This window comes from Homo sapiens, chromosome 21, assembly GCF_000001405.40.
Source record: "Homo sapiens chromosome 21, GRCh38.p14 Primary Assembly".
Classification (NCBI taxonomy): Eukaryota; Metazoa; Chordata; class Mammalia; order Primates; family Hominidae; genus Homo; species Homo sapiens.
In genome coordinates, this window is record NC_000021.9 from 46,080,022 (window position 1) to 46,097,665 (window position 17,644).

Sequence of the window (17,644 nt, forward strand, 5' to 3'; positions counted from 1 at the left end):
CCCGTTCCGGGGACCCTTGCTGGGGACTCTGCTTTGGAAAATGCAACAGAGAACAGACGTCTGCAGAGGCAGCCGCACAACTCCCTCACTCCCGGGGAGGTGCAGCCCCTGCTCTGTGGGCTCAAGAGGAGGTGTGCCACAGAGGTGCTGTGGGGGTGGCATGGATGTGCCTTGTGGGTGCCCCGGGGGGTGCTGTGGGGGTTCCCTGGGGGTGTCAAGGGGTGGGCCACATGGGCGAGCCCCCGATGGCGTGTTGCGCTGCTCCCAGACTTGTCCTGTCAGCGTGGCTGCCGCCCATTCTCCTCGCGTCCCCCCCTCCTCCCTGGAACCAGGTCCAGATGTGAGGTTCTGCCCTCGTGGCCACCAGCCTCCCAGCAGATGACCAGGAAGTCGCTGTGAGCATCTCACGGGGATGGAGAAGCACATTCAGTGAGTGTCAGGAGGATGTCAGCCTAGACTGGGTGAGGTCCCAGGTGCAGCCCCGTGGGTCATAAACAGCAGCTAAACCTGCAGGGCCCAGGGCGGTGCAGCTGCCGAGGCACAGAAGACGACAAGGGGCACTGGCAGGAGGCCCCCGAGCGCCTGGGCTGTACATGCAGATAAAAGCAGCAGACACGTGGCCTCACCAGCTCCCACTGCAGCCCAGCCTGCAGGCCAGGAGTCTGGGGCTCAGCCAGTCTCACGCAGCAACTGCAGCCTGGTCCCGGGCCCGGGGGGACGGCCGTCTCCAAGCTCACTCGGCTGACAGCCAACCTGTTCCCGGTTCCCGGCAGCTTTGGGACTGTGTCTTCTGGGGACTGTGGCCAGGCTCAGCCCTCACCCTTGGCAACAGTCCCCCAGCCCCTCACAGGAGTCCCCAGGTGCTTCCAACCCTACAACTTCTCTTCTGGCCCCACTCGAGGTGCCATAGGCCTCCCGTCATGAGGCCAGGTCCACCCAGTGACCTCCCACCTAAGGTCAACTGATGAGCACCCCAACTACTCTGAAAACGGGATGTCACAGAGCAGGAGTGACGCCGGGGTACAGACCCAGGCCACCCAGTCTCCTGCCCACCACCGAGGAGAGGACGCTGAATGGGGCTTCTGAGGCCAAGTGCGCCAACGCAGACACTGCGTAGCCCCAGAGGCCTCGGGGACAACGGGATGAGGAGGGCACTCGAAGGCGCCCGGCACACGGCCGTCTCCTTCGTGCACCAGGACCTCCTCCCGAGCTCAGACACAGAAGGCCTGCTCTGCAGAAAACATGGGTGTCTGACCATTACCAGTCACTCACTAATAGCCCAAATTCCTTCCTGATAAATGTGCCGTGACACATTCACCTGGACCTAGCCACCTTCGGAACATTTTCTCCGAGTGACAAATATGACTGCACGGCCCGGGCTCTGGAAAGTGTGTCATGTACAGGAACGGCCGAGGTCGTTTAGCTGGCGTGGGGGTGGGCACGGCCCTGCATCCCCCCAGCAGTGAGGCAGGGACAGACTGTGAAGCCTCCCCCAGGCCCCACTGAAGACCCCCCGGTCCCCAACCCTAGGGACTGAGGGGTGGGCCCAGAGCAGGGACAGGGGAGCCTCAGGGTCTCTGCAGCTGGGGCCTCCCAGCGCTCCCCCTGGCAGGTGGCCTGGGCCAGGGCAGCTGACTCAGAGCCCCGGATGGCAGGGAGGCCCGAACCAGCTGTGGCACCCACGGCCGCACCCGACAGCCATGGAAACTTCCCGACAGCAGTCGCTGTTTCACAGCTGAGGAGGAGAGGGGAGCAGCCCAGGGGCCCTGCAGCAGGTGCCATGTGGACTCGGCCCAGCCGTCCAGGACCGGAAGAGCAGGCGCAGCCACTGGAGGGCTACGGATTCCAGGGCTTAGAAGGAGGTGCCGGCGGCTCCCAGGGAGCAGGCCATTTGCTTGTTCTCAGCAGCCCCTACCACGGGACAGTGAGAACCTTCACACCACACGGAGGAACCCGCAAGACACGCATGCCCCTCTCACGGGTGGGGAAACTGAGGCACCCAGGGAGCAAATGACTTGCCTCAGGTCAGGCAGAGGATGAATGGGGTCCTTCATGCCCTGTCTCTCCCAGGCTCTGAGTAGCTGAGCGCCGTTGGCCGAGGCAGCCTGGGAATAGGGAGGCAACAGGAGCCTGGACGGCAAAGAGGGGGTGAGCGGTCAGCTCCCCCGACCCCTCCACAGACCCCGTCCACCGTGCAGGGCCCCAGAGCCCAGGGTCCAGAGGCCGCCCCTCAAACACACTGTGGCTTTGCAGTCCCTGGAGGCTGCCGTGCGTGTCTGCTGTGGGCGGTACAAGGACGGGGGACAGCAGCCCCCCGAGGCCAGGCCAGGTGGGGGCAGGGGTCCTGCAGATGCAACCTCGGGGCTCCCGTCAGGGCGGCTCTCAGGGTCAACAGCCCGGCCCACCCTCCCCAGGCAACCGTTCACCCCGCCTCAGTCACGGCTTGGACGACGACGCTCGCTGCTCAGCCATCGTGGTGTGACCCCGGGAGGCTGTGGTCAGTCCCAGAGTGAGCAGGCCTGGGGGTGCTGTGCCCCCTCCTGGCAGGGACCCACCCACTTGATCTCTCTTCCCATCTGACCCTTGCTCCCCAGAGACCCTCCCAGTCCCGACCTGTCCCACAGGCTGGGCCTTGACAGAGAAGCCAGGTGGGCTAGAGGGTCCTCTCACTTTGGGCCTCTGTGTCCCTGGGGTGCCACGCCTGGGACTGTCCACACCAACTGCAGGGGAGAGAAGCTCAGGAGGACTCAGGACCTGGCAATGCCAAGAAAATGACCCCCTCCTCCAGGAAGGCCACTGGGCTTCCACTCAGGTGGGGAGGCTGGGTGACCAGTCCCTGGGACGTGAGCTGAGGCCAGAAGACATGCTGGCAGGGATCGGGGCCTTGAGCATTCGTGGGGGCAGAGTGGGGCGCCTGATAAAGGGGGTCTCTGAGCTGGTGGGAGGGGGCCCCTGGAGAGCTGGGTGGGGTGGGGGACTCAGAGTCTTGTCCAGAGGGACCTGAGCTTGGAAGAGGTGACCTGGGGGGCAGCCGGGCAGGCAAGGTGCTCCCAGCCTGCAGGCCATCGTCACCATCCAGGTCTTATTGGGAGGCCCTGGGCCGCACCCAGCAGCCCTCCCCCGCCTGCCACCACATCTGCACGTGCGGGGATCTAATAAGTGAGTTGGGTAATTGGGTGCGTTGAGCAGGGAGGGGGCCACATGTTGCTGGTCTCACCCTCGACCGCATCTGCTTACTGAGAGGAGGTTTGCCCGGTGGAGTCTCCACAGGGCCCTCCAAGGCTGGGCCTCAGACCCTGGGGGAGGGCAGGCGGCAGCCTCCAGGGAGTCCTGACTCGGGAGAAATTGAGGGGCCCCTGTGGCATTTCGGTTAAACCAGCCCCAGAAAATCCCACCCCTGCGACGACTGTGGGCCCCGGAATCAGGCCCTCTCGAAGTGGCTTCCAGCTCACAAGTTCATAGCCACCCCCCGGCTGCCGCCCACAGCACCGCGCCCTCCACGCGGGGCTGCACGTTTGTTCCGGGTCTCAAGGCTGTTAATCCTCAGGACAGCTGGTTCTGTTTAGGGCTTGATTTGTCCGACAATTTAAAATTTTCTTCCTGCCGGAAAGCGGCTCCTTCAAAGGGAAGAGAGGCTTCTCTGCGGCCGACGTCGCTGAGTCTTCCAAGACCTCAGCCCACAGAGCGGGAGGGGCCCAGAGGGCAGCGTGAGTGCCTCAGACCACGGGAGGGAGCTGCCCAGGAGCCAGGAGGACCAGTGCCCCCAAAGAAACGCAACAGGGCACGCAGCCCCACCACGCCCCACTCCTCCCGACCTCAAGGAACAGAGCAGGCAGGAGTGGGAGGGAGGCGCAGACAAGGCCTGTGTCCTGGGCCTGTAGGGGAGAAGCTGGGGAGAGCAGGCCCTGTACCCTGAGGATGTGGAATGGGCGCCCCACCGCAGATGGCTCCTAGGGTCCCTTCCAGGCGGTATTCCTAATTTCTGGGCATGTGTCATCCCTGTGGCTCGGCTGCACGGGCTGTGAGCTGCTCCCGATGCCTGTGGAACAGGGGGCTGCTCCCCACCCCCGCCAACATACAGGGCAGCGGAGATGCAAGCAGCAATAGCCTGACTTTGAGGCTGGATGTCCAGTCTCTGGGTCCGAACCCATCCCAGGCGAGCTGTGGTCCCAGACCCCCTAGTGCAGCTCTGGGGGGGACCCAGGGCCCTGTCTTGAGCTCTGTGACGTCCCCTCCCCTCTGAAACTGGCAACTGGTCCCAGGCAGTGTGACCACCCCACACCCGGCCCTGTGGCTGCTGTGAGTGCCCTCTGACCCTGCCCTGTGGTGGCTTCCTGTGAGCAGCGGCAGCAGACCCATCTGCTCCCGTGTTCCCGTCTGAACCCTCCTGCCGTCCTGGGGGCTGCGGGAGGGGCTACCAGCCAGACGAGGGCTGACCCGGGAGGCGAGTACAGTGGTGCCGGGGAGGGTCAGGGGTCTCGGTGAGAATTGCGAATGGTCAAACCCAGAGGTTGCACCCGAGGCCAGGTCCAGAGGGGAGCCCAGGCCACCCTGAGGGACAGGTCCCTGGGTGGGGCGGGAGCCGGAAAAGGAGGAACACACTGGAATGCGTCCCAGGTTCTCCATCAAGCTGACGTTGGCATCAGGGTAAATGTACAATTCTAATAATGTGAGAATAAGGCTCATTAGAGGTAGATATTGGGTTTTGTTAAAAGGTATTTCCAGCCTGTCTTAAACCAATCACAGGACTTCTCTCCTCTTGTGTCCATCAAGGACACTTAGGTGCCTCCAGGTTTGGCTGTGTGTGGTTTCACACCATCATGCCAGCTGGCACGCGCGTGCACCCAGTGGTGCTGACACCTCCACAGTGAGCCAGGGAAACCTGCCTGCGGCTGCCACCGCCCCAACCCTGGTATCCTGGGAGGTTCCTCACGGGCAGCTCGCCCGACCCAGGTGCAGTGAAGAGTCCCCTGTGACTGAGGAGGAGCAGTGACACAGCCAGGGCACAGTGTGATTCCAGGACTCCCGGACCCCACCCCTGTGACCGAGGAGGAGCAGTGACACAGCCAGGACACAGTGAGACTCCAGGACTCCCCGACCCTGCCCCTGTGACAGAGGAGGAGCAGTGACACAGCCAGGACACGGTGTGACTCCAGGACCCTGCCCCTGTGACCGAGGAGGAGCAGTGACACAGCCAGGGCATAGTGTGACTCCAGGACCCTGCCCCTGTGACCGAGGAGGAGCAGTGACACAGCCAGGACACAGTGTGACTCCAGGACTCCCGGACCCTGCCCCTGTGACCGAGGAGGAGCAGTGACACAGCCAGGACACAGTGAGACTCCAGGACTCCCCGACCCTGCCCCTGTGACAGAGGAGGAGCAGTGACACAGCCAGGGCATAGGGTGACTCCAGGACCCTGCCCCTGTGACCGAGGAGGAGCAGTGACACAGCCAGGGCACAGTGTGACTCCAGGACCCTGCCCCTGTGACTGAGGAGGAGCAGTGACACAGCCAGGGCACAGTGTGACTCCAGGACTCCCGGACCCTGCCCCTGTGACTGAGGAGGAGCAGTGACACAGCCAGGGCATAGTGTGACTCCAGGACCCTGCCCCTGTGACTGAGGAGGAGCAGTGACACAGCCAGGGCACAGTGTGACTCCAGGACTCCCGGACCCTGCCCCTGTGACTGAGGAGGAGCAGTGACACAGCCAGGGCATAGTGTGACTCCAGGACTCCAGGACCCTCCCCCTGTGACAGAGGAGGAGCAGTGACACAGCCAGGGCACAGTGTGACTCCAGGACCCTGCCCCTGTGACTGATCGCCTGGGTGCTTTTGCCCCACCATCCTGACCACTGTCATCATGGACCAGTCAGTGGCACTGCTATCCTCAGACAGGCTGGCCTGGGCTGAATGGTGGCCTTCAAACTTGGTCATCATCCCAAATAAAATGACAGGCCCAGCCACACAACACTGAAATAGAAAACAGGCAAACAATAGAGACAATCAACACAACAAAAAGCTGACTCTGAAAAGATCAATAAATTTGATACAACTCTACCTATACTGATTTTTTAAAAGAGAGAAGTGACAAATTATTAACATGAGAAATGAAATAGGAAACATCACTACAGATCTGACAGACATTAAAAGGACAATAAAGAAATATGATGACCAACTTTATGCCAATAAATTTAGACAACTTATATAAAATAAACAGATTCCTTGAAATATATAAATTATCTAAATTAACTCAAAAATATTCCTATAGTTATTAAGAAAATTGTGTGAGAGGTCTTCACTGGAGAATTATATCAAACATTTAAGAAAGAAGTAACACCAATTCTGAATAAACTCTTTCAGAATATAGAAGGGAAGGTAACATTTCAAAATTTATTTGATGAGACCAAAATCATCCTGATACCCAAACCAGAAAAGAAAAACACAGACCAACATCTCAAATGAACATAAACACAAAATTCCTTAACAAAGCATTAGCAAATTGAACCTGCCAATTTATATAAAGGATACTATACCATAGCTAACTGTGCTTATGCAATTTTGGCTTAAGATTTTTTAAATCAAACAATATAATTTACTATAATAGCAGAATAGAGGTGATGAACAATTTGATCACCTCAATAAATGCAGAAAGTATATTTGACAAAATGCAATGCCTGTTTGTGAAAGTACTCTAAGAAAACTAGAAATTGAAGTTAACTTTCTCTAAAATAAAAACTAAAAAAAAAAGAAGTTAACTTTCTCAACATAATAAAGAGCATCATCACCAACAACCACCAAAGCTACCCTATAGTTAATACCATATTTCTGTGAAAGACAGTGGACTTTCTCTCTAAATTCAGGACTATGTTAAGGACATCCATTCTCACCACTGCTATTTGACATTGTACTGGAGGTTTAACTAGCGGATAAAGGCAAGAAAAAGAAATAAAGGTATACATATTGGAAAGAAGAGGTGTATTGGTCTGTTCTCATGCTGCTGTAGAGAACTGCCCAAGACTGGGTAACTTATAAAGGAAAGAGGCTTAATTGACTCATAGTTTAACATGGCTGGGGAGGCCTCAGGAAACTTACAATCATGGCAGAAAGGGAAGCCAACATGTCCTTCTTCACATGGTGGCAGGGAGAGAGAAGTGCAGAGTGAAAGGGGGAAAAGCCCCTTATAAAACCATCATATCTTGTGAGAACTCACCCACTATCATGAGAACAGCATGGGGGCACCACCCCCATGATCTAATCACCCCCCCACAAGATCCCTCCCCCAACATGTGGGGATTACAATTCGGATTACAATTCAAGACTAAATTTGGGTGGGGACACAGAGCCAGACTACATCATGAGGTAATATTGTCTGTATTCACAGAGGATATTATTTTGTGCTTAGAAAATTCTACAGAATTTATTTAAAAAGCTGCAAGAACCGATAAGTGAATTTGACAAGGCACAGGATCAATGAACAAAAATTAATTATAAGGCCAGGACTTCTGGAATGGTGGAGTGAGAACCTCCATAAATCCAGTTTTCCTTAAAAGCAAAGAAATTACTAGAAAAAGTATCAAAATATTCTTTTTCAGAGCTCTACAGATTAACCAAAGTATTGCAACAACCTGAAAAGCATTTATTCCAGAAAAAAATACTGTACCTTGGTAAGAATTAACTACTGACACATAGCCTATCATAAATGAACCTCAAAAACATTATGCTAAATGAAAGAAGCCAGACACAAGAGACCACATAATGTATGATTCCATATGATTCCATTTACATGAAACATCCAGAAAAGGCAAATCTATAGAGAGAAAGCAGATTAGTGGTTTCCTGGGGTGGAGGGTATGAAAGGGTATTAACGATAAATGAGCATAAGAAGTCTTATTGGGGTGATGAAAACTTTCTAAAGCTGATTTATGATTATGATTATACCATTTGGTAAATTTGCCAAAAATTATTGAATTGCATACTCATACTTGAATAGGGTGAATTTTATGTTATGTAAAATATACCTGAATAAACCTATTTTGGAAAGAAAAACAAACTAAGCATACTCTTTGCCAGTTTCTCAGTGCTAGGGAGAAAACACCTAGAATTTAGGGCCCTCGAAGGAACAGAACCCTCAGCAAATACCTTAGACTCTCAGCTGGTCCCTTGGAAAGTTAGGCTCTAGGATTAGGGGAAAACTGGTGATATATCAGTATTCACAAAGACATAAACTTAGATTTGAACTACATCCAACTGTGATTGGAAAAAGGTGACCTGTCCCTACACCAACTGTCCACCAAAATAACACTAAATCCTATAAAAAGTAAGATAACATTAAACAGAGCTTCTACAATATTTCATACACAATGTCCAGCACTTAATCAAAAATAACCCAGCAAGAAAAGAGACAGGACCGTATGCCTGTATGGGGGAAAAAACAAACAAGAGAAACAGATCCATGGGTGGCCTTGATTTGGGAGTTATCAGACATGAACTTTAAAATAAGTATGATTCATGAGACATTAGAAGATGAGATAGTTGCGTTAAAAAAAGTAATTGACACTGAAGATAAAACAGAAATTCTAAAAGTAAAAAATGCAATAATTAATGTTAAAAGCTCAATGGATAGGATTAATAGCAGATTAGACATAACAGAAAAGAGAATAAGTTAATTTGAAAATAGGTCAAAAGGAAATGGGCAGACTGAAGGACAAAGACAGATAATATAGAAAAGCATATAAGAGATGCATGGAAGATGATGAAAGGCTCTAACCTGTGAAATTTAAGGCCCAGGAGGAAAATAAAGACAGAAAGGGGCAGAGGCAATATCTGAAGAGATCATAACCAAGAACTTTTCTAAAACTGATAAAAAATATCTTACCACAGATTCAAAAAAGAAAATCTACACATAAAGGACATCGTTCCTAGGTACATCATAAAACTGCTGTAAACCAAAGACGATAAGAAAACCTTGAAAGAATCCAGAGGAAAAAAGCACATTTTATTTAAAGAAACAACAGAAAGATAGATTTTTTTCCACAAATCTGAAAGCCAGAAGATAATGGAATGTCATCTTCAGAGTATCAAAAGAAAATAACTGCTAAGTTGGAATTCTTACCTAGGGAAATATCTTTCAAAACTGAAGGTTAAATAAAAGGCTGTTGAAACAAATGAAAACTAAGGAAATGTGTTGCTAACAGACCCACACTAGGCAGTCTCTAAAATAGCCTGCAGCAATCCTGCCTCCTGGTATTCCTGACCTTGTATAATCCCCTCCACCTGAGCACAGGCTGGACCTAGTGACTGACTGCTAACAAACAGATTACGGCAAAAGTGATGAGATGTAATTCGAAGACTAGCCTACAAAAAGTTGTTTACTTCTGTCTTGCTGGGCCACCGTCTCATTCTCCTCTCTTGCCAGCTTTCTCTCTCACAGCTCCCACTCTAGGGCAATCAAGTTTCTGTATTGCACATAGGGAGCTGTGGTGAGAAGCTGGTGTCTCCAGCCAGCAGGGGCTGAGGACGGCCACAGTTGCGTGAGTGAGCATGGAAGTTATTCTCCCCCACTCCAGCCTTGCAGCAAGGGCTGGCAGGAGGCCTTTTACCCTGTATCCTTTTGTGCCTTTTGACTTTTGCACAGTGGCCATGCATTATCTTCCCCAAAATAAACAATAATGTCATAACTATTTAATGCCAATCACTAGTAAAAGGTAAAAATTAATAACAAAAAGGCAAAGAAAAGTAACTGTAAACATGCACCTAACAAAGAGGGCACTCTGCAGGTGAGCACATCCTTCTCCCATATCAGACGGAGGCCCTGCCTCCAAGATAGAAGATGGCAGTCACCCGGGACTTTCACCCTTTCTCCCTCAAGAGAGTTTGTCAGTGTTGGTGAGGAGTACATCCAGAGATTTACAACACCCTTATCCACCCATCACGAATATGTATGTCTTCAGCTACATGGCATGGCCTTTAAGATCAGAGGCTACATCTTTCTATGATCCAATCTCCTGAAATGGTCAGTGCTTGCCTTTAGGAGAGGATGGTGGGGATAGACAAAGGTTATGGGAATGGGAATGGGAAAAGGTGATAGTGTTGTTGTTGTTGGTGGTGGTGGTGGTGGTAGTAGACTGAAAAGAGTCACAAAATCTTTGCAGCTCTTCACATTGGGTGCTGGAGCCTACTTCTCCATTGCCTGAATCCTGGTTGGCCTTGTCACTTGCTTTGACCAATAAAATGTGGCAAAGTAATGTATTGTGACTTCTGGGCCCAGATATCAAGAATCTTTGCAGCTTCTGCTCTCATTCTCTTGGAATACTGACGCCATGTAAACAAGTCTGAGTTAGACTTCTAGAGAGGACACATGGAGGAGAACCAAGGCACCCTGGCCAAAACCCTACAAGACCTATAAGTAATGCCATCTTAGATCATTCAGCTTCCTCCAAGCCTTCAGCTGATGGGCACCACATAATGAGTTCAGATGCAACCATCAGAAGAGCTGCCCAGCAGAGCCCAGTCCAAAGTGTCAACCCACAAAAAAACAGCAAATTAAATGGGTGATTTTTTAAGCCATTAAGTGTTAGAATGGTTTGCTATGGAGAAATGGATAACTGATTCAGATTGTGATACGGATGGTGGTGACAGTAAGGGTGAGGGTAATGGTGATAGCAGTAGTAGTAGTGACAGTAGTGGGGAGGTCTTGGTGATGGTGATGATGATGGCAATGGTGATAATGGTGATGGGGTGATGGTGTGGTGGTGGTGATGGTGGTGGTGATGGTGGTGGTGGTGATAGCAGTAGTAGTAGTGACAGTAGTGGGGAGGTCTTGGTGATGGTGATGATGATGGCAATGGTGATAATGGTGATGGGGTGATGGTGTGGTGGTGGTGATGGTGGTGGTGATGGTGGTGGTGGTTGTGGTGGTGGTGGTGGTGGTGGTGATGGTGGTGATGGTGGTGGTGATGGTGGTGATGGTGGTGGTGATGGTGGTGGTGATGGTGGTGGTGATGGTGGTGGTGATGATGGTGATGGTGGTGATGGTGGTGGTGGTGGTGATGATGGTGGTGATGATGATGGTGATGGTGGTGATGGTGATGGTGGTGGTGGTGATGGTGGTGGTGATGGTGGTGGTGATGGTGGTGGTGATGGTGGTGGTGGTGATCGTGGTGGTAGTAGTGGTGGTGGTGATGGTGGTGATGGTGGTGGTGGTGATGTGGCCGTGGTGATGGTGTTGGTGGCGGTGGTGATGGTGGTGATGGTGATGATGGTGGTGATGATGGTGAAGGTGGTGATGGTGGTGGTAGTAGTGGTGATGGTGGTGATGGTAATGATGGTGGTGGTGGTAATGGTGGTGGTGATGGTGATGGTGATGATAATGGTGATGATAATGGTGATGGTGGTGGTGGTGATGATAATGGTGATGGTGGTGGTGGCGGTGATGGTGGTGGTGGTGGTGATGGCAATGATGGTGATGGTGGTGGTGGTGGAGATAACCATGGGATTACTGGTGGCAGTGTCAACTCTGGACTCCCTAAGTCATCAGAGAAAAACTGAATTTTCCTTCATGTGGATTTTGTGTGTTTTGTTGTGTTCCAGTTCTTTGAAACTATGCATTACCTTTGGAGTTACATGTACCTATTTCCAATTAAATCTCTGGGCCCTCTTCTCAGGAAAATAGAGTTTTTTTCAGACTTTGGGGACTTGTGGCACTACACTCTGGGTTGGACCTGCGGTGAGAAGCCCTGTGCTATGCTTACCTGACATTCTCATGTCACAAACAGGTCGTGCCGGCTGCTGAAGTATTTGTCAGTGTGGCTGTCCTGCGCCAGCAGGGAACTGAGTTGTGTGACATTCACGTGGCCCCTTCAGTTAGCACCGCACGGTTGGTTAAGAGGAGGGTTTTATTCAGGCATAAATATTTTGAAATATTTGTAATCAAATCCCACGTAGTATAGACAACCTCCCAGATGGTGGAGGGGAAACACACCACCCCCCTGACTGGGAGAGAAAAGACCGCGGTTTTCTTTCCTGCCACTTGTCCTCCTCCGGGAGCCTCGGTCTCCTCTCTGTGGGACAGGGCAGCCTCCCCTGGCTCCTCCTGGTGCAGGATCGATGAGGCTCTTGCCCACAGCCTTTGTCCCCCGACTTCCTACCACCTGGTGTCCTCACCCCATCTGGGCCCCGAGCACACAGCCTCTGGTCCTGGTTTCCACTGAAAATGTAAACTATGGTCCACGCCACATTCTCCAGTACTCCTGTGCTATTGTGAAAGTAAAAGACAAAAATACACGTGCTTGGCAGCCCGAGAGCCTGGGTGAGATTATTGAGAATAATGCGGTGGCTCTGGCTTAAAAAATAAAAGCCGGAGGATCTACCACCAGCTCTGAACACACACCCGTGACACAAACTGACTCATGTGCAATTGCCCATTAGTGGCAGGTCTTGCCATTTTTCGTTTTTTTCTGAGTCGAGATCAGCTGCGGCTGGGGAGAACATTAGTTCTGTCTGTCGGCTCCATGAGTAAGCAGAGGAAAGTCTGACTACAGAGGCATCTTCTCAAATGTCCATGAAAGGCTGCAAGCCCGAGAGTAACGCCCCTGCTGCCCTGAGTGGTCCACGTGGTGTCCAGAGTGTGAGAAAGCCACAGAGAGCTTTTCCACACGGAGCCACTTAAGGCCTGCCTCAGCCTGAGAACACTTGGGCAGAAAAGGACAGCACGGCTTCCTCCTCCTCCAGGCCGGGCCTACAAGCACCCACAGTTCCGACAGAGAAAGTCTCTTCTTAATGGTACGCATGTGTCTTACTGTAGCTCCCAGTTAGTCCCCTAAGCGTGAACCACCACCCACCCATGCTGCTCCCCTCCCACCATCTCTCCATAAACAGGACCCAACGCAGCCAAAAACTCATGGTCATGTGACCTTGGCATCAGCTTGCTCGTTAGGAACCGTGCCTGGAGGTGCTCTGAGCACTGACTGCCAACCTCAGCAGGGCCCTTTGTGGTGTTGAGGTGTGGTGTCCGCAGGGCAGCCTGCAGCCTGCTGGGGTCCAGCCTGGGGCCTCAGGTCCTGGGAACCCTGGTTGAGGCTGGGCTGCCTCAGTGCCCCTCCGCAGCCTGCTGCACCCAAGCACTCTGAGAAAAGGAGCAATCACCCAACTTCAGTCTGAAAATGAGAATGTTGAGAAGGGCATGATGAGGGGAAGCAGACCAGAGCCCACCGGCAAGGGTAGAACGTCAGCCCCGCCCTAGTGGGACAGACAAGAGAGAAGCCTCCTCACACCAGGAGGCAGTATAGCCGGAGCCTTCCCTCCAGGGCTCTCAGGAGAGCCTGTGCTGGTTCATGAAAAAGTGAGGCCTCTGGGCTTTGCTGCTGCAGAGTGAGGTCAGAGCCCACAGGCCCCACAGATCATCCTGCCTGACAAGCACAGGAGGCACCACTGCTTGAATTCAGAGGGCAGCTCCGAGGGTCCTAGGTCCCCTGTGAATCTCCACAGAATCCTGGGACCTCAGAGCCTGCATCAGTTGGTCCCCCATGCAGGGACTTAGTGACTCTGCAGCCCCAGTCAGGGCCTGCTCTGTGCCAGGCATTGCTCTGCAGACCCAAAGGGACTCCAGGCCAGTCCTCATCCTCAGGGCCCACAGTGTAACACAGAGGCCGTGCCGCAGGCTCTGCTCCTCTGCCAGCAAGCTGTGCAGTCTTGGGCAGGTTACTTCAGTGCTCTGGTCTCAGCTTCCTCTGCAAGTGGTGGCAGGGCTGTGCTGGAGGCATGAGAGGGGTGTGGGAGCTGCAGGCTCTGGCAGGTGGCACGCTGGGGTTCTTGGAGAGGGGTGTGTGGCTGCCAGGGGACTACTGCTGTCATTGCCATCTGCAGAGACAAACAGAAACCCAACACGGCAGCCATCACTGGGGCCCCTTCATGGGAGGGATAGGGTGGAAATTGCAGGTCCCAGCAAGGCCTCAAAGCAAGTGCCCAGCCTCCCCTGATCAGTCCAACCTGAAGCCAGGTCCTGGTGTGCACAGAGATGCACGGCTGGGCTGCCCCACCTGCTTGGGCCACAGGAAGCATTTCTCTAAAGGTGAGCAGCTTCCTCTGCAGGTGACACGGCCTCCACCCAAACCCAGAGGCTCTGGCTCTCCCACTGCGGCTTGCCGCAGCCCCACACTTGCCTGCTCCCACACTGACACCTCCAACACCACAGGGGCTGCTGGGTCACGTGGCCCAGATGGCAGGGCTGCTCAGACAGTCATTTTCTGCTCCTGGCCGCCTCGAAGCTGGCAGCCTCCATGTCAGCCAAGCCGTGGGTCAGAGCAGTGCCCCCAGGAATTAAATATGTTGCCTTCAGAACCCAAAAAGGCCTGTCAGGCCCTGTGCTTCCTCCTTTGAAGTAGGGGATGCAAGATGTAGCAATTTCTCTTTTACTTTAGAGGATGTCCTGGTATGAACCTGATCACTGGTGCCCTAAAAACTTCCATGAAGTTAGGTCCCTGAATCCTCGGAGTTCACCTCCCACCCACAGATGCAAATGTGTCTCATAAGGCCTCTAGCTCATGACCCTCCTGTTCCTCCTCCTGCCCATTATGTCGTCACTGTAATGGATCAGTGTGGTGTCCGGTGCACTGCTCAGGTGCCCAGATCTTTTCAGGCAATATTAGGACAGAGGACAGAGTTAGCGTGGCCCTGCACTAAACTGGGAATGAGTATTGTTGTTCCTCCCATGTAAATGCAAACTGTTTCCGATCCTCTTTTCTAATTGGAATAGAAAAGAATGCAATGGCCAATCACTGGCCTCATTAATCTGCTACGATGATACGTCTGACACAGCAGATGCAACTGGAGCTACTACCGGGTTCAGGCTAAGTGGTCTGGCGTCACTTTCTAGGATCCATCAGTCTTTGCAATGACCAGGCCAGAGAATTAGACACGACAGTCCACCACCCTCGCCTCCGTGAGGCCTTTAACGGTGGTGCCATCCTCCCAGGATGCAACGTGGTTTGTGATTTACTCTCTTGGCCATGGAAAGGGGACTTCCCCACTATGATGTCTGTCACCACACAGGCCTGGGATCCAATATATGGCTACTCCAGCCACCAAGTACATAAATTATAATTACATACTCAGGGGGCAGGGAAGCGGCCACTGGATGGTCTTCTGGCCCAGGGGTCTCACTGTGCCCAACACTTTAGCCAGGATTCCTTTTTATTACCTGGCCCCGTCAGCCCCTTCTCTAACAGGGAGGCCACAGCGACACTTTTGGCCTCCAGTATCAAGGTCCACTCACATCCCGCGTCCATTTGTCCTCAAAATCTCTGGATTTTCCCAGCGTGCAGCCAGCTGAGTGAGTGACAGCGGGATTCTACAGAACATCCTTGTCAAGGTATTGCCTGGTCCTTCCTTCTGGTGACCTGGCCACCTCTGCAATCAATGGTTCCAGACAGGAAATTAGCTCAAGTCCAGGAATGGAGTAGGGAACCACGATATTTTACTGGAGTCCCCGCCCTCGGCCTCTTTCTTCCTTCCTCTGCCGTCCGCCAGGGCGGCTTGGCTCAACATGACCCATCGCTTTCTCCAGGCTTCTGGGAGCCATCCCAGAATCATCTTTGACCCACGACCTGCAGAACTTGCCAGGTAACTAATCCTATGTGCCAAGCAAGTGCCTCCGCCTCAATAGTTCTTCTGTCCCCCTGGATAAAGCACCCTGGAAATCTAATACCGGGGGTGTTCCCTGGCTCCTGCAGGCACATGCTGGCTGCCTCGTGCAGTTCCTGGACATGCAACCTCTCTACTCCCTGGTCAGGCCTAGCAGGTCCCCATCCAGGTTACCCTGGACTTTCTCCCTAGTCACTGCTGGCAGCCAAGAGACAAGGTGGAGCAGCCCCCAGTGAGGGCACCTGCTGCTCTGGTAGGGGAGGCCCCTGGAGCATCTTCCAGCACAGAGGAAGTGCTGGCTTCCAAGGGCAGGAGGGGCCCCTCTGCAAGCTCTGAGGGGACAGGGGTCTGCAGGGCCATGCCCTCAGGGCTTCCACCTGGATGTCTCAGCCCATGTTTCAGGGTCCCAGATTTTCCCAACCGGGGTCCAGACCTTCACATAGGCCAGCCGTGGCCAGGCATCAAAACATGCCTAGAGCTAGGTGGTCCCCACAGTCACTGTCGGCTCCTCAGCCATACTGGTTCTACCTCTGCCAAACATGGGACTCCTTTTCAGCAACCAGAGAGGCCCTTTGTTCTCACACCAAGCCTGATGGGCAACCGTGGGTAACGTCGCAATCTCCATTCATCCCTCTGTGGAGCATCAACCCCACTCCCCCCATGCACTGAAAGGGGGAAACTGCCACACCCACAAGGCCTCCCCTTCCACCAGGAAAACGTCCCAGATCACTCTTGGTGAAAACATTTAACAATTGGGGCCCTAACTTTGTGCCAAAGATTACCCATATCCCCACATCAACCAGAATGGTGTCCTCGGTGTTGGCCGGGAAACGGCCACCGCACCAGCTGAGTCTCAGGCCCCTCCTGCACCACTTGTGTTAATTGGGGTCTTCCAAGAGGCAGGTGCCATGGAAGCTCTGACGTGACTGGAGATTTATCAGTGCAATGTCTGTGAAGGATGCTGGGGGGGTGGCCAAAGAGGACGGAAGCCTCAGACCACAGGTGAGACCCCTGTGAAGGAGATACGGGGAGCCTTGGCCAGCACGTGCCCCTAGACAGTGCTGGCCAGGCCGAGGGAGAACTTCTGGAGCCAAGGTAACCCCTAAAGGATTCTGGTCTTGTGAGGAGGGGCCTGGCTTCCCCCTGGGAGCTGCTGGCTTGGAAGCAGGAGGCATTGCCCAGGTGAGAGTTCGGCATGGACCCAGGGGAGTGGCACACGGTGCCCGCCGTCAGCTGTGCTCAGGAGCAGCAGGCAGGAGCCCTGGACTCATGGCTACCATGTGGCTGCCACACTCAGGCACACTTAGGCACATACACTCACACTCAGGCACACTTAGACACACACATTCACACTCAACCTCAGACGCAGACACACACCACACACTCACAGATGCACACAGTCTCAGACACAGACACACACCACACACAGATACACACACCACAGACTCAAACTCAGTCTCAGACACAGACACACACCACACACTCAGATGCACACACCACACACACTCAGTCTCAGACACACACACACACCACATTTGCAAACCTGCTCATCAGAAGAGGGACCTCGCCCCCAGCCGCTCCGCCACCTTCCAGGACAGCTCTGAAGGGAGCCCTGTCCCGGAGCCCAGGGACCTCTCCCCAACCCGGCTGCGCCTCACCTCAAGGAGGAACCCCGGCCCTGGCTGGGGGACTGTGACCAGGGTGGGGAGTGGGGACCCCAGACAGAGCCCTACCAGGGACCCCTGTCACTCTGTCCCCGGCTGGGCTCAGGTGGGGACCTCACGGTGGTCCCAGGGCCCAGCACCAAGCCCACCTGTGGTTTCCAGCGGGAAAGGGGTGGCAGGGGTGGCTCGCCGCATGCCCAGGCTCTGCCCCAACCTCCGCGCCCAGGCTCTGCTGTCCCTGCCCTCCCGGCTCCCCACCCTCAGGCCCCAGGAGCGGCAGTTTCTGCAGGAGCTCCTGACCCGGGGCCTCTCGCGGGAGGCCTGAGCAAGCCGGACACAGGAC

The 17,644-nt window shown here is 53.7% G+C and overlaps 1 long non-coding RNA gene across 1 annotated transcript, besides 3 other annotated features; it reads right to left on the minus strand.

Annotated features, from left to right (window-relative positions):
* Window positions 86-595: an enhancer, noted in NCBI's record as "H3K4me1 hESC enhancer chr21:47500021-47500530 (GRCh37/hg19 assembly coordinates)". NCBI's record gives its function as "activates a minimal SCP1, AML or CMV promoter by ChIP-STARR-seq in naive H9 embryonic stem cells {active_cell/tissue: H9 hESC(naive)}" and the evidence as "EXISTENCE:reporter gene assay evidence [ECO:0000049][PMID:30033119]".
* Window positions 4,907-5,407: an enhancer, noted in NCBI's record as "H3K4me1 hESC enhancer chr21:47504842-47505342 (GRCh37/hg19 assembly coordinates)". NCBI's record gives its function as "activates a minimal SCP1, AML or CMV promoter by ChIP-STARR-seq in naive and primed H9 embryonic stem cells {active_cell/tissue: H9 hESC(naive and primed)}" and the evidence as "EXISTENCE:reporter gene assay evidence [ECO:0000049][PMID:30033119]".
* Window positions 5,408-5,908: an enhancer, noted in NCBI's record as "H3K4me1 hESC enhancer chr21:47505343-47505843 (GRCh37/hg19 assembly coordinates)". NCBI's record gives its function as "activates a minimal SCP1, AML or CMV promoter by ChIP-STARR-seq in primed H9 embryonic stem cells {active_cell/tissue: H9 hESC(primed)}" and the evidence as "EXISTENCE:reporter gene assay evidence [ECO:0000049][PMID:30033119]".
* Window positions 11,875-17,624, minus strand: COL6A2-DT (COL6A2 divergent transcript). The gene is made up of 2 exons (NR_186433.1): window positions 17,451-17,624; window positions 11,875-13,855 (listed from the first exon to the last, which is right to left on the minus strand). It is a non-coding gene; the product is annotated as a COL6A2 divergent transcript (long non-coding RNA).